At 33.2% G+C, this 15,018-nt stretch overlaps 1 protein-coding gene across 7 annotated transcripts in view; it reads left to right on the top strand.

Annotated features, from left to right (window-relative positions):
* The window catches only part of SEMA3D (semaphorin 3D), a 254,691-nt gene that overhangs the window by 139,983 nt on the left and 99,690 nt on the right, over positions 1–15,018 (top strand). For 5 of the 7 annotated variants that reach the window (NM_001384901.1, NM_001384903.1, NM_001384902.1 and 2 more), the window contains one exon: positions 12,296–12,456. The exons of 1 other annotated variant lie outside the window; for it this stretch is intronic. In NM_001384901.1, coding sequence (NP_001371830.1) covers positions 12,296–12,456 — 161 coding nt within the window. Of the gene's footprint in view, positions 1–3,454; positions 3,541–12,295; positions 12,457–15,018 lie in introns of those variants that run through there. One more of the 7 variants, XM_011515961.3, reaches the window with a different exon arrangement.

Genomic DNA, 15,018 nt, shown 5'->3' with positions numbered 1-15,018 from the left:
ACATTGTATATGGAACATTGCTCTAAACATTATTGGTCTATGGAGCTTCACAGAGTGGTGGAAGTGACAAAATAATATAAGGTAATATATGATGCACTATTGCCATGCAAACATACAAGAAGCCTTCCTGGAATTAAGAAGATACATAAAAATCACTAAGGGCTACAGTGATCATCTATGTTCTCCTAGCAGGGTAAAAGAGAGCTCAGCCTTGAGGCACTTGGGTTGTGTCTTTGTTTTTGCATAAATGTGGAAATAATTTTAGAAAGGGCATGGTTTGTCTAAAGGCAATTTTTATTGGGATAAAATCCAGTCAATTATGTTTTGGTGGAAAACTCTTTTTGAATAGATCTTGTAAGCAATTGGTTTACTATTCTATAAACTATTGAGGAGCAAAAGTTTTTATGTGCAACTGCTCATTTCATAATTCAACTTCCCTAAATTTGTCTCTAATTTCTTGAGCCTTATTAAAGGAATTTTCACAGTGAGATTTTTCCGTACATGTGTATGAATATAAATTCAATGACAGTTTTAAAAATAATGTCCTTAGGTCTTTTTTAAACAGAAGATTTGAAAAACACTTCTCTGATTTCTTAAGAACTAGTAATATACAGTTTGCATTTTTGTAATAATCCTTTAAACATACTGCTTTAATCCAACTAATTCAAAAGAGGCATAAATTAGAACGAAAGTCCTTTTTATTTATAAAGATGGTCATAAAGGGGTTTATTTGACTAAAGCCACAGTGAGCCAGAAACAGTTTGGAAATTAAGATAAATACTTCAGTAATCCCGATGGAGTGGTGAAGTAGAAGAAGCAATAGAAGTGAACCTGTCGGAATATTCAGTGGAAATATAAGTAGAGACCTTTTGAAAAAGAATCTTGTTTATCTAAGTAATGCTAAACATTAAAATATAAAATATAGCTGTAATGGGTGATGGGGCTTAGAATTAGAAGATAAAGATAGGTTTGAGCTCTTTCTGTCACATGAACAGTCTATGTACCATTAGAATAATTAATTGTCTTTCTGAGTCTAGGTTTTCTCATCTGGAAATTAAGTTCTTCTTGGGGATCAAATTAAATAATAAATGGGAAAGTTCCTCAGATGTTACAAACCACAAAATGGAGGTTGTGACAGATTTCAAAGACAGACCATACATGTTTTTAATTAATTGAAGGAATATATGAAGAAAATTTAAGGTATTTAAGAATATAATTGTAGTTGAGCATCTTGGGTAGAATTTTTGCTACCACAGATAACAGCAAAGATATTTGAAATGAAAGTCTACAATGCGTCCTCATCTTGACACCTTTTTTTTTCAAGTAAATGCATGTTAAATTATTGTACTTCACTTCTTTGTATGAAAAAAAAGCTGAGGGGAAAAAGCTTATATATCATTGGTTTAAACTAAACAGGTCATTGATCACTTCTAGCAATTAAGGAATAAGCTAGTTAGAGATGTACAAATTTGACCAATTTAGAATTGTAACAGAAAAAAATACTGTGGCCACATTGCATAAATTAACACACACCACGAGGTAAAGGTTTGAGAGAAATTCTAGTGTGAGGAAGAATGAAGGAATTCAGCTCTTTAATGCAGGCAAGCTGAGAATAACAGGGGCACAGTGTATTTTAAACCTTTCTACTCCAGGTGTGGTTCAAGCTGCAGTTGTATCAGCAAAATCTGAAATCTTGTTTGAAATGCAGAATCTCAGACATACTCTGTGACTTCTAAACAAAAACATCTGTATTTCAACAAGAATCCTCGAATGCATGTTACACCCTGAAAAGTAATGTTCTAGGGTTCCCATGATTCATGTGAGAATATGAAGATTAGAAAAGGAACCCCTTGTGACTGCAAAGCATTATCACAATTGGGTCTCTAAATAGCACATTAACTTCTCTAAATTATTAATAAGATGGCAATAAATCCTGATTTAGATCAAAGGTAGATAAACCAAGGCAAACAAAAATCAGTAGTTTAAAATACTGTGAGTTAAAGCTTTATTAGACTTATGTATAAGAGGTGGTGTTGAAATACAGAAATGATTTAGACATTATTTTTATCTTCAAGGGCTTCTAGTGTTTTTAAGGGACAAAATAAATAGACAAAATAATTGCAAAAATACCAGTGCCATAGTATAAATAAAACCAAAATTTTAAAATTATTTAGAAGAATTTGGATATGAAATTGAACTTTGAGCACTGGAGGAAGTTTAAAATTTATTCAATGAAGCATATGTTGGTATTGGAGTATTTTCATCATGAAATTGACCTAATTTAATTGTGATTGGGGGAAAATGAAATAGGCAGCATCACGTGGGAGAGACTGGTGGGAGAGCAGGTGTAGCAAAAGATAATTTATGAACCTGTTACAGTAATTTAGAGAAGTAGTAATATGGCGGGCAGTAGGAATAAATATATTCAAGAACGGAGAATAGAAAACTTGCTTGATAAAATCTATAAGGCTTTAAATTTAGCTGGATGTTGTGTGAGGGGGGTTAAACAGACTTAAAGTGATGGATTATATAAACAGAGGAAAGAAGAGTAAGGAAGAAAAACTAAAAGTGATTCAGAAATGTTGAGCCTGAGGATTAGATCATTTCATTGAAGTCATTAAAATCAATGAGATCAGATGATTGGAGGAAAAATTGACAATACGTAGCAAGCTGTGGCAAATTCTAAACTGCAACACTTGGGAGAGATGATGGGGTTGTGGGTGTGTATTTTGAAGTCATCAGCAGAGAACTAACAATTTATGGGAGAGAAACTAAGGAAGATAATGTAAAAATGGAAAGCATTTTCTCATTGCTTATACCTGCTGAATAGTACCTGAAATCGAAGAGAACAATATTACATGATGATATTTTTAAATTTCCCTCTTGAAAGTGTATGTGCAAGTTCTGATGCAAATTCTCTGCACACCTTTACCAGATGATGCTCCTTGGGCAAGTGATTAAGAACTTTCATCTGGAGAAAACCTAGAGAAAAGTCTCACAGATGATTGACATTTATTTGTTTTAGATGAAAAGCCAAACTGAAATTTTCTTGAATCTATGAAAATTGAATTTTAGATAAAATGTCACACTGAGTGCCCAGTATGAGCAATGATCAATGATCAGTTTTACACATATATACACACACATATATATATTCTGGCAAATTATTTTAAATTTCATAATACCGAGAGAGGGTGTGATTTGAACAGCTTCCAAGAAAAAGAGAAGACACATTCAAAGTCTTGGAAATACAAATGGTGATATGGTGTGACTGTGTTGCCACCCAAACCTCACCTTGAATTGTAGTTCCCGTAATCCCCACGTGTCCTGTGAGGGATCTGGTGGGAGGTAATTGAATCATGAGGGCGGTTTCCCCCATGCTTTTCTCCTCTTAGTGAGTGAGTTGTCATGAGGTCTGATGGTTTTATAAGCATCTGGCATTTCCCCTGCTTGCACTCATTTTTCATCCTGCTGCCCTGTGAAGAGGTGGCTTCCACCATGATTGTAAGTTTCCTGAGGCCTCCCCAGCCATACGGAACTGTGAGTTAATTAAACCAGTTTTTCTTTATAAATTGCCCAGACTCGGGTATTTCTTCACAGCAGTTTGAGGACAGACTACTACAGATGGCATGAGACATCTCAGCTGTGACTGTCACAATTGAGAAGTTTCACATATGCCTTTTAACATTATTTTTTGATATACATATACTTGATTTTAATAGAATTAATTTTATAAAACAATATTGTTATAAAATAATGTTATCTGTTTTATATTACACACATAACTTTTTGCTTTATTCCTTAATTTATAGTGATCTTAGTTTGAGGAATTATTTGTCTTGTCATATTGTCGTATTTGTCTATTACTTGGAGTCAATAATAGATGTTGTATTAAGTTAAGACCTTCCGATGTTTTCTACATTAAATTTATATACTTGATTGAAACAAATACCAAATATGTGTGACATGGCGTTTAATTTTAAACATTCTTTGTAACTTGAAGAAGGAGAAATTCTGAATAACTTGAAGGAAGCTATGAAGCAATTGTAAAAGTAGTATCAATCGTGCTCAGAATGATACTCTCAACTTTTTTCCAGGAAGTTTATTCCATCGTGACATTGCTTTTCTGGAAATGTACTAGATATTTATAATACTAACTTTTTTACAGGTCAATAGGAAAAAAGATCCCAGCAAAGCTTTTGAAAATTTAAAAGGACTCATTCAAAGTATGAATTTACTCCGTAACTATAAATGATAAATCTCACAATGATGGATTATATAAAGCATCCACTATTGAAAGCTGGCCAAATAAGAACAAAATGTAATTTAAAAGTATGGATGTGATAGAAATGTGACCATGAGTAATTGCCACACTCCTACTCCACAACCTGTCTTGGCAAGAACACAGACCCCATGACATAATAAGCTTAATTTGTTTCTAATTTATGTTTCCCTATGTGATATCATCTGTTTTATTATTGATATAGGTAATGTTCTAAGACCAATGAACAGAATGATCTATAACATTCCATCACAGAAAAGCAAGAGAATTTGATTTGTTTGTGTTCTTTCTGATTTGGACTTGCATTTGCAAGGAAATAATGGTTAGTGTGGATAGCTTAATGATATCTAAGAGAGCATAATAATAACATAATATTCACCTGCAATTTTGAAGCAGTCTTTTGTAGGGCTTTTAGATTTGACTAATATTTTTTCTTTATATGCTTTGAACAATTAGCTTTAGAGACTAAATGTACACAGTGGAGAATCATAGGTATTTTTGTGTTGCTAAAGGGGAATTATGAGTTATCTTGATAAACAGAACGTTTTCACATGATCTCAAGCCTCAGAAAGCATATTGGAGGTCAGCTGATGCCAAGTTAAGATGAGCTAATTTTCCCAATGTTAAATCTAAGAGAGAATCCATGCCTTGCCTTGGACAAAAAGCTGTAGTATTTCTGGAAGTTATGGGCAGAAGCTTTGAAGGCACTCCATAGAAATGATGCTCTGATACTAACTCAGCATAAAAAGCCCTGGAACTTTAGAGATCAGAGGAGAAATGCTGAATTTAGGGGGAAGGCAGAAATAGAAAGGATGCTGAAAGGCTTAAAGAGAAACGTTTTTACTTACACAGCTTTGTAGAGAATACATTGGAGATCTGACTATACTAAAGAAACATGAGAATAGCCCTACTGATAAAACTGCTATTTCCTGAAGGAAAAAGAAAAGTGGGCAGGGCAATAATTTGTGCTGAATATCCTGAGATGGCAGGGAAAGGTGACTGTATTTTGATCTGGATCTATTTTTAGTTGTGAAGTTTCTCTGCTGAGGAATTTTACTCCCTAGATTGGAATACATTGGAAGTTAAGCTTCTCCAAAGCTGATTTTCTTTTTAGCCCCATGAATTTCTGTCTTTCATAAAATGTTCTTTAAAGGATGTGGGAAGCATTTTTTTTCTTTTCTTTTCTTTTCTTTTTTTTTTAATCTATGTAGTCTTCTCGTGAGAGAAACTGACAACTCCACCCAGTTCGGGATCTCTGGCAATAAATGCAAGATTTCAAGGTTATAGGATCTTGTTCATTTAACACTCAAATACTGAGGAAGTCTGTGTTGCTTAATCCTAAATTTATTAGATTCAATATGACTCACCACTCCCTTCCTTTCTGGGGTGAAGAGGAAGAATATAGACCATCGGGTCAAATGTTTCCCCAGGCTGAATGAACAATTGTATTAAGGGACACTAAAAGGGAGATACAAAGAATTATTTTTAGAACAAAACTATTTCAAATAAGAGCAGAGATTACCTAATCCTTATCCTTCCCCTTAAATAGCAGAGCATCTGGCTATCAATTAGGAGATTCATTTTATTAGGCTTGCTAAAGGAAATATAGATAAAAAGATATTTCCATTTTACTATTAGAGATACTTAATGGTCTACTATGTTATATGGTTGTCCTTTGTCACAAGTATATTTTCATTTTTGTTGTGGATGAACATTTTCTCTCCACTAGGCTGTGAGTTCCATGAGGACAGGAGTGTGTCAAACTTGTAATCAATGTCTTTCCAGCATGTGCAGATACCTGGTATTCTTAGATGAGTCAGTCATTGCCTGCAAAAGTCACATTTTGGGAGGGTAGTGACTCACTTTCTTGTGCTAGCAATTGGAAATTATTTTAAATATGATTACTAACTACATGTGGAAAACATATATTTCTCCCTGTGACTTCTGGTAAGATATCAAGAGGTGTTAATAAAGACAAATGAAGAAACTCTTCAAAAAATGCACACATACATACAAACGTGAAAATTTCATGTTGTTTATATGAAATTCGATCCTCGGAACCATTTCATTGTCCCATGGTGGTTTACTGGTACTGGGTCAAGAACATCTTCTCTGTGTCATCCATCCATCAAAATTTGTAATATGCAATGATTTCTATATTTAAGCAAGTAGATAAATAAAAAATCGTGTCCTTGCTTCATTAATTTTGGAAATAATGAGATTGTAGTTTTTTCCAAAACTGTGTTGCTAGAACAAAAGTGGGAATTTGAACATCTGGGTGATTAAGATTAGAAACTGGGAACAAGGTAATAGGAGAATGCACTGCTAAAAGGAACAGTGAAAAAGAAGAATTATGGTGGATTAGGTCAAAGGTTTAGGGAGATAAAACAAAGGAGTCATTTAGGACCTAGAGGTAAGTGCTGCTGACATCCCGAGGAAGGGTGGGGCTGTTTAACCAAGCACAGAGCTGGCCTCCTCTCAATGGCACGTGTGAAGCAACACACTCACCCTTTTACCCAAGGGGAAAAATAAAAAAACAAAGTTCCTGTCCAAAAAGCTTTAAAACTATGGACAATCTCAAAAATCGCATGCCCAAGAATTTCCAGTTTAGAATTTTTTTTAAAAAGCTCTGAAGTGTATTGCCAAATTATTATTATTCAACTTTGATGAGTTTGAACCCAGCAGAGCCAGCATCCATTTCTGATTTATGAAATCCACTGAGTGTCTTAGCTTTACGTGTTAAGATACAGGCTCTAAAATTACCAATTTTTTTTCTGTTTTGGTTGATAATCCTGTGGAAACAAAAATGACTTTGCTTGGTTTGGCAGAAATACAAGAAAGATAAGCTGGTTGGAAAAGAGGGAACTTGTTCCAATCCCTGTCCCAAAGTCTTTTCATAATGTGTGTGTCAGCCTAAGAAATTTTAATATGTAATGCCTAAATCTAATTATTTAATTTGGCTACAATGAATTGTTGAAGGATGTTTAATCGTTTTGCTGCTAGCATTGTCACAGGGCAATGTTAAATCATTTGGAAATGATAATACCCCAGGTTAGTCACTGTTTTTTCAGCTGTTTTTTCTTGTAAAGTTGGTTTGAAACTAAACCCCATAGAATTGGTTATGATGAAAGAAAATAAAGCAAGTGGCTATATCAACTTTATATTTATTTTTCTCACTGTGTAAGTAAAGACAAAAAAATGACATAAACAGCTCTTAAACATTTTCCTCCTCTCATTGCCGTAATTCAGGGATTCACCATGTTTCAGAACCTCTGGATAGTCTTCCTGACCCCACCTTTCCCCATTCTCATCCACTTGGATAATTTAGCCAGACTTATCTTTGTAACACTCAGCTATAGTTGTTGCCACTTTTCTGAATAAAACATTTTAGTAGCTTCAAATCACCTGCATAATAACCAAAATCTTCAACCTGCCATCATAGGCTGTAATCATCTAGATGCTGGCTTTATGTCTAGTCTCACTTATTTCCACCCAACATAGTCCCTATATTTCAGCAGAGCACATTTCCTCAGTCATACAAACAATTATTAAGCACTGAATTTGTCTCAGACTCTGAGCTAGGTGCTGGGAATTCCAAAATAATTACACCATGGTCTTTGCCCTGACACAGGTCACACTCCAGAGTAGGAGACATAGTAGAAGTGCAGTATGTACGTGCAACCTGGAGTAACATGTGTTCCTGTACAGCCTAGTGTTCATTCTGCCTGGAACAAATTTTTCTTTATGTGTTTCCTCTCAAAATTCTATCTGTCTTTCAAGGCTGTGCTCAAATATCACCTCCTTTTAGAAGGTGATGTATAATTAATTATTTGAAAGGTTTAACATTTTATATATACTTCTATTAGAATTTATTTCACGTATGTTGTGTTTTATATACATAACTGGTTCCACACTGATCTGTGAGCCCCTTGCAGACAAGGCTCACTAATCTCACGACCTTAACCCCATACTCAACACTTAATACACACTAAATGCTTATAAATATTTGTGGATTTAATAGCATTTTAATATTATTCCATTATCATAAAAAATGCAGAGATGTTCTTATCTTACTAATTCTGATTTAATGGAAGATAAGATACATGCTTTTTAAATATATCTTATTTGGCCCAAAGTAGAGTTTAATAATCATACTCAAAACAATATTTATTGACTTTTCCTATCTACCAAGCATGGTTCTAAGAACTTTATATAAATTACCTCCTTGAATCATCATGAGAACTATATGAGTTGGGAAATATTATGATTTCCTTTTTATACATTTGGTATAGACTTTTAAAAATACATCATTGTTATTATAATGACTGATAGATACATAGCACTTACTATGTGCCAGACACTATTCATAATGCTGATCATGCATTAACTCGTTTATTCCTCACACCAACATGGCTTATCACATCATTTCCGGTTTTATCCTCACTTTACAGATGAGGAAACTGAGACACAGAGAGGTTAAGTGACTCATTCTAGATTGCATAGCCAGTGAGTTGGGAGGCAGGATAATGCCCTGGTGGCCTGAACCTAAAATTCATATTCTTACTCATTATGAGAAGTAATATTTCATTTTGTAATTAACAATGCAATGCATGGTTCAAAATAATTGAATATTATTCATAGGCACTTGAAACAATAAGGATTTCGATTGTATAAACTACTTACTCTACTAGTTGGGTCAAAATAAACCCCTGGGAATGCTTTTACATATTTTTGATTTTGCTGATTTCAGTCTTAGTTAAATAAGGGAAATTGCATGGAAGACATAGAATTGCCTGATTGAAATAAGGTTTGTGTGAAATGCATTATCTTGTTAAGGCTTTAGATTATATTTGTTTACCTTTTATCTTGGTTCCATTCTTCTCAGTTCTACTTTACAATCAGTATGGCGTATTTGTTGGATATTATCCCTGCATTCGGAACTGCTAAAATATATTACACCATTGGGTCTCTAGTCTGAAAAATGATTGAAGTTGTATTTAGCTTAATAGAAAAATAATTAGTATCAATTTCAGACTTCTATCCAATACACAAAGCATGATCCATAAATGTTAGTAAGACATTTATGTTCAGTAAAGTCACGCTCATTTGAGATTTCAAATATCATGTCTTCTTCAGCATACTGCCTTTTGCTTTGTAAAAAACTAAGATAAAACCCAGCTTAGAAACTAAGAGAAATAACATTTAACCGTTATAAAGTAGAAAAAAAGAAGGAAGGAAATGCTAAAAAATATGAAATAATAATAAAGCCCATTGTTGATAGACGGAATATATGGCCATTATATTTAAGGGACTCAAATATCATTTTTACAGAGGTTAGAACTGCCATGATACTTTTTAGAATTACCTTAGTGCCTATATCCTAGACATTATCTCTTTTTATCTTTCTCATCAATTAATAATAGGCTACTTTTAAATAATGAATTGGTTAAAAGTCAGATAGCATATAATGGGCTTTAATAAAATGATGAATATTATTACCTTATTAGCATTCAGTATTCTAGGATTTAAAAAATAAGATAATATCGTAAGTACTTGAGGTAAAATCTAGTGAAAGGATTTGGATAACTTATAGGAGTCTGTGCATATCACAATTATAAATAAAACAAAGAATTGGGACCTAAAGAGAAGTGTCAAAAAAAAAAAAAGAAAAATCAACACTGAAGACTCCAATTCAATTATCAACTTTGCTGCTACGTAGTTTTGTAACTTTAGGGCATGTGACTTCACCTGAAAAGGATTAAAGAGCTTCATTTGTATAACTATGCATTTGCATTAATTTAATTTCAAGGTCTATTCTAGCATTAAATTTTTGATATCATTACTGGATTACTGGTTCAGGGTCATATCTCTTTCAGAGTACATTTTCTGGGATTCAGTTTCTTTCTTTACATCTTTCTGCACATATGAAATAGAAAAACTTCAATTCTCCAAACACAGGCATCAATCTAAATACTATCAAAATTAGGATGGGCGAAAGACAAGCTGCAGACTGGAGATAATATTTGCAAAAGATATATCTGATGAAAGACTATAATCCAAAATATACAAAGAACTATTGAAATTCAATGATAAGAAAACTAACAACCTAATTTTTAAAAATGGACAAAAGGCCTTAACAGACATCTCACCAAGGAAGATATACAGATGGCAAATAAGCGTATGAAAAGATTCTCCATATCATATGGCATCAACAAAATACAAATTGAAACAATAAGATACTGCTACACACCTATTGGAATGGCCAAAATCGAAAACACTGATACCACCAAATGCTAATGAAGATAGGGAGCAATAAAAATTCTGATTCATTGCTAGTGGAAATGCAAAGTGGTATAGACACTTTGGAAGGCAATTTGGCAGTTTCTCACAAATCTAAACAGAAGACCCAACAGTCATGCTCCTTAGTATAATATTTACTCAACAAAGTTGAAAACTATGTGTATTAGTCCATTTTGACACTGCTGATAAAGACATACCTGAGATTAGGTAATTTATAAAGAAAATGAAGTATAATGGACTCACAGTTCCACATGGCTGAGGCCTCGCAATCATGGCAGAGGGCAAAAGTCCTGTCTTACATGGTGGCAGACAAGAGAGAATGAGAGCCAAGTGAAAGGGGTTTCCCCTTATAAAACCATCAGCTCTCATGAGACTTATTCACTACCATGAGAACAGTATGGGGAAACCACCCCCATGATTCAATGATCTCCCACCGGGTCCCTCCCACAACATTTGGGAATCATGGAAGCTACAGTTCAAGATAAGATTTGGGTGGGGACACAGCCAAACCATATCACTATGTCCACACAAAAACCTCCACACAGGTGTTTATGGCTGCTTTATTCATACTTGCCAAAACTTGGAAACAACGAAGATGTCCTTCAGTAGGTGAAAATTTAAATAAACTGTGGTACATCCAGACAACAAAATATTAGCACTAATAAAGGATGAGCTATCAAGCCATGAAAACATGGAGCAAACTTAAATGCATATTACTAAGTGAAAGAAGCCAATCTGCAAAGGCAACATATGTATGGTTTAAACTATGTGACATCCTATAACAAGCTAAACTTTGGAGACAGTAAAAAAATTAGTGATTGCCACGGGGAGGGGTGGGGGAGAAGGATGAATAGGTGGAGCACAGACAATTTTTAAGGCAGTGGAAGTAGTCTATATGATACTACAATGGTTGATACTTGTCATCATTCCTTTGTTGAAATATATAAAATATACAACACCAAAATTAAACCCTAAACTATAAAGTTTGGAAGATTAATATGTGCCAGTGTAGGTTTATTGATTGTAATAATTATAACACTGAGGTGGGGGATGCTGATGATGGGAGAAGCTATGAATGTGTGGGGCAAGAAGTATACAGGAAATTTCTGTATCTCCCTCTCAGTTTTGCTATAAGCCTAAAACCGCTCCAAAAAAAGTGTATTTTTTAAAAAGTAGAAAAAAATGCTAAGAGATTTATGATACACTTGATTTGATGTTTACTTTGTATACATTAATTAATTTTATAGATTTGCAAATATTAATATATATAGATGCTTTAAATGATAATTTAAGAATGTGAACACAGGGTTGTAAAATATTTCGTATTTAATTTTTTGTATATTTACATGTTTTTTATTCATTTTAATACTGTGTGTTTTTCACACATAAATATTGTGTTAAGGTACAAATATAATATATTACATCTATTTCTAAATAATTACGTTGAAAACTGTAATTACATATAGCTATATTGGCCCTTTTATGCTGTATGTATTCATTTACAAAGTGGGACAATATGTATATTTAGGCAAGTAAATATTTTGCCTATTACTAATTCTTTCTTTCTTTCTCTTTCTTTCTTTCTTTTTTCTTTCTTTCTTTTTCTTTCCTTTTCTCTCTTTCCTTTCTTTTTCTTTCTTCTTTCTCTCCTTTCTTTCTCTTTCTTTCTTTCTTTTTTCTTTCTCCTTTCTTTTCTTTTTTTGCTTTCCATAGACTTGCTGCTTTCAAATAGCTGTATTCCCTTTTTGGGTTCATCAGAAGGACTGGATTTTCAAACTCTTCTCTTAGATGAGGAAAGAGGCAGGCTGCTCTTGGGAGCCAAAGACCACATCTTTCTACTCAGTCTGGTTGACTTAAACAAAAATTTTAAGAAGGTCAGTATATTTATATATACATTTGGTTAAATTCATTTATTTTCATCTCTCTTCTTCTCCCGTTTTGTTTTGCTTTGTTTTAAGGGACACAGTGTCAAATGCAGTGCATCACATACATGTCAAAAAGCAGCATAAAGAATATATTGCCTCTGATACACATTCTGGATTTTTATGGATTTAAGTACATATGCATGTTCTTTATTTAGAGTGAATAAATATAATAAAAGCTTTGAAAATATAAATGAAAACATAAAAAATTAGTTAATATACACTAGGCCATATAATAGAAATGGAAAGTTTGAGACTGAAGAAATGACAAATTAGTTATACATCAAGAATGAATATTTATATCCTAACAATAGTTGTAAAATTAAATTTTATTAACTTTCAGTTCACAAATAAGCATACTTTCAAATGATAATGTGGCTATAATAACAAACACCATACTGCTTTTTCCAAACTCTCATTTCACATCTGAACAGGTTTCTCCTACAAGTCAATCACTCTCAGCAAGTAAAGATAAATAATTCCCCAACTATGGGTTCATTAAGACAATCTCACCATGACAAAGAAACATACACTAGTACTTTAAAATTCTTAAGGCAATTACTACTATGTCCTACATTTTCAACCACCAGTGTGAAACCCGGAGGAAAGGGTGCCACACTTTAGACATTGTCTATTAACTAGTACTTTAGCAAATATCAATATCTATGCAAGCAGAGATAGATGCTAAGACTGGCAGAGATCGAGTGGCTGATAAGATTACATAATATCAGATCTCTTCTGCATCTTTGAAACATCTTCTATTGTCTTTTTAACCCATCTTTGTCAGAAGTATTGAAAAAAAAGATTAGGAGCAGTTGCACGGTTTAAATCCAATAGTTACCAATATTGAGTTCTTCTTCTTCAAAGAGAATTATTTATAGGCCATCCTAGGACTTTGGACTTTGAAGCTACATACAGTATTAATCTACAATGACCACTTTAACCCTCTAATTGTGAGATTTAATAGCCAAATATCAGTTGTTCAATTATTTTAGAATTATTTGTTCTCAGGGCTTTAGTCTACACAAAATATTTATCTTCATATGTAGTAATATTACTTCACTTCTGAAATAGAACAATGATATTTGGTTTTTAGTCAATTAACTTTTAAGTAATTCTTTCACACATTTTTAAGGCCTACCAAAGGAAAAGGAGTTATTTCTTATAAAGGCTCATACTTAATAAAGAAATTATTTCTGCAAATGTATACACATACATTTCATGTAATCTGTGTTTTTGGATGAAAAAATGAGGGCTAAAATACTGCTAGCAATTGTTTTTGACTTCTGTTAATCCAAACACACTAAAAACCTCATATGATTATCTTTAAAAAAATTAAAGTATCTGGTAGCCTGGATATTGTTTAACATAAAATAAAATAAGCAGTTGATTATGTACTAGAATTTGAAAGTTTGTCCTCCATTCTAATCTAAAATTATAGCTCCATTCCATTTTTTTCTTAAGGCTGTATTTTTTTCTTCAGGAATTTCTTTTAAAAATACTCATACTCCTAGTACGAGCCAATTGATGGCATCAAGTAACATCTTAATTTTCAGTAAATATCTTAGCAGGGGATGACGTGTTTTATGAAAGTGGCCAAGGAAAAAAATCTTAGCTAACTTTGCAATTTTGCTTTAAGAGATGCTGCATAGCTTAAAAGGCATTTTTTCCAAATATGTCTCAGTTTTACCATACTAGCAAAAAGCAATTCATACTTTTAAGGGAATTTGTTCTTGTTCTGTTCTCTGCCTTCAGGGATTGGAAGAAAAATTCCCTTTATCTGAACTGAGTGTATTAGATCATTGCTTAAAATAAATTCTTATAACTTCCTGCTGTGACTATTTTAAGCAAATCTCTCTTTGGCGATGTTCCATGCATGAAATGTGCTAATATTTTAAAAAGTAAATGTTTATGAAGTATCAATTTATCTTATGATATTATTAAAATAAAGTTGTTTGAATACATTATGAAATTAGATGTTATCTACATAACTGATATTTCTTTATATCTCTATAAAATGTATAATTCATAAGGGGATTATGTATGCAAAGGTAATAATTTATGTTATATAGGTATCCACCATTCCAATTTATATAAATCACTCTATTGCTAAAGATACTCCACAGTAGCACATAAGTGTCAAAATGCAGTACTTTAGGTTTAGACCCACTTGGTTTTCATTGGCTCAGTGCCCCTCGGCAAAGATCCAAACTCTTTTGCGGAGGAAACCACACATGTTGGGACTCTGAGGGGCTGAAGGCTGTCCTTTGTACTCTTTAGGGTTAAAGCAATCTACAACATATAATTGAGTTATCAGTGACTGGTTGGGATTTTTTTTTCCCTTGGAAAGTTAAAAAAAAAATCTGTAGAAAATACTCAATTGAAGTTAGCAAAATTTGCAATATATGTGAACTTGGAGGTTTTGTACAAACAAGGCTGTGCCTACTGAAAAAAAGGCCATTATCATTCATATTTGCCATGGGCATTTAGTGCAGAATCACCAGAAATTATAGC

The sequence above is a fragment of the Homo sapiens genome, chromosome 7, assembly GCF_000001405.40.
Source record: "Homo sapiens chromosome 7, GRCh38.p14 Primary Assembly".
NCBI classification, from domain to species: Eukaryota; Metazoa; Chordata; class Mammalia; order Primates; family Hominidae; genus Homo; species Homo sapiens.
This window is presented reverse-complemented; position numbering and strand designations above follow the sequence as displayed.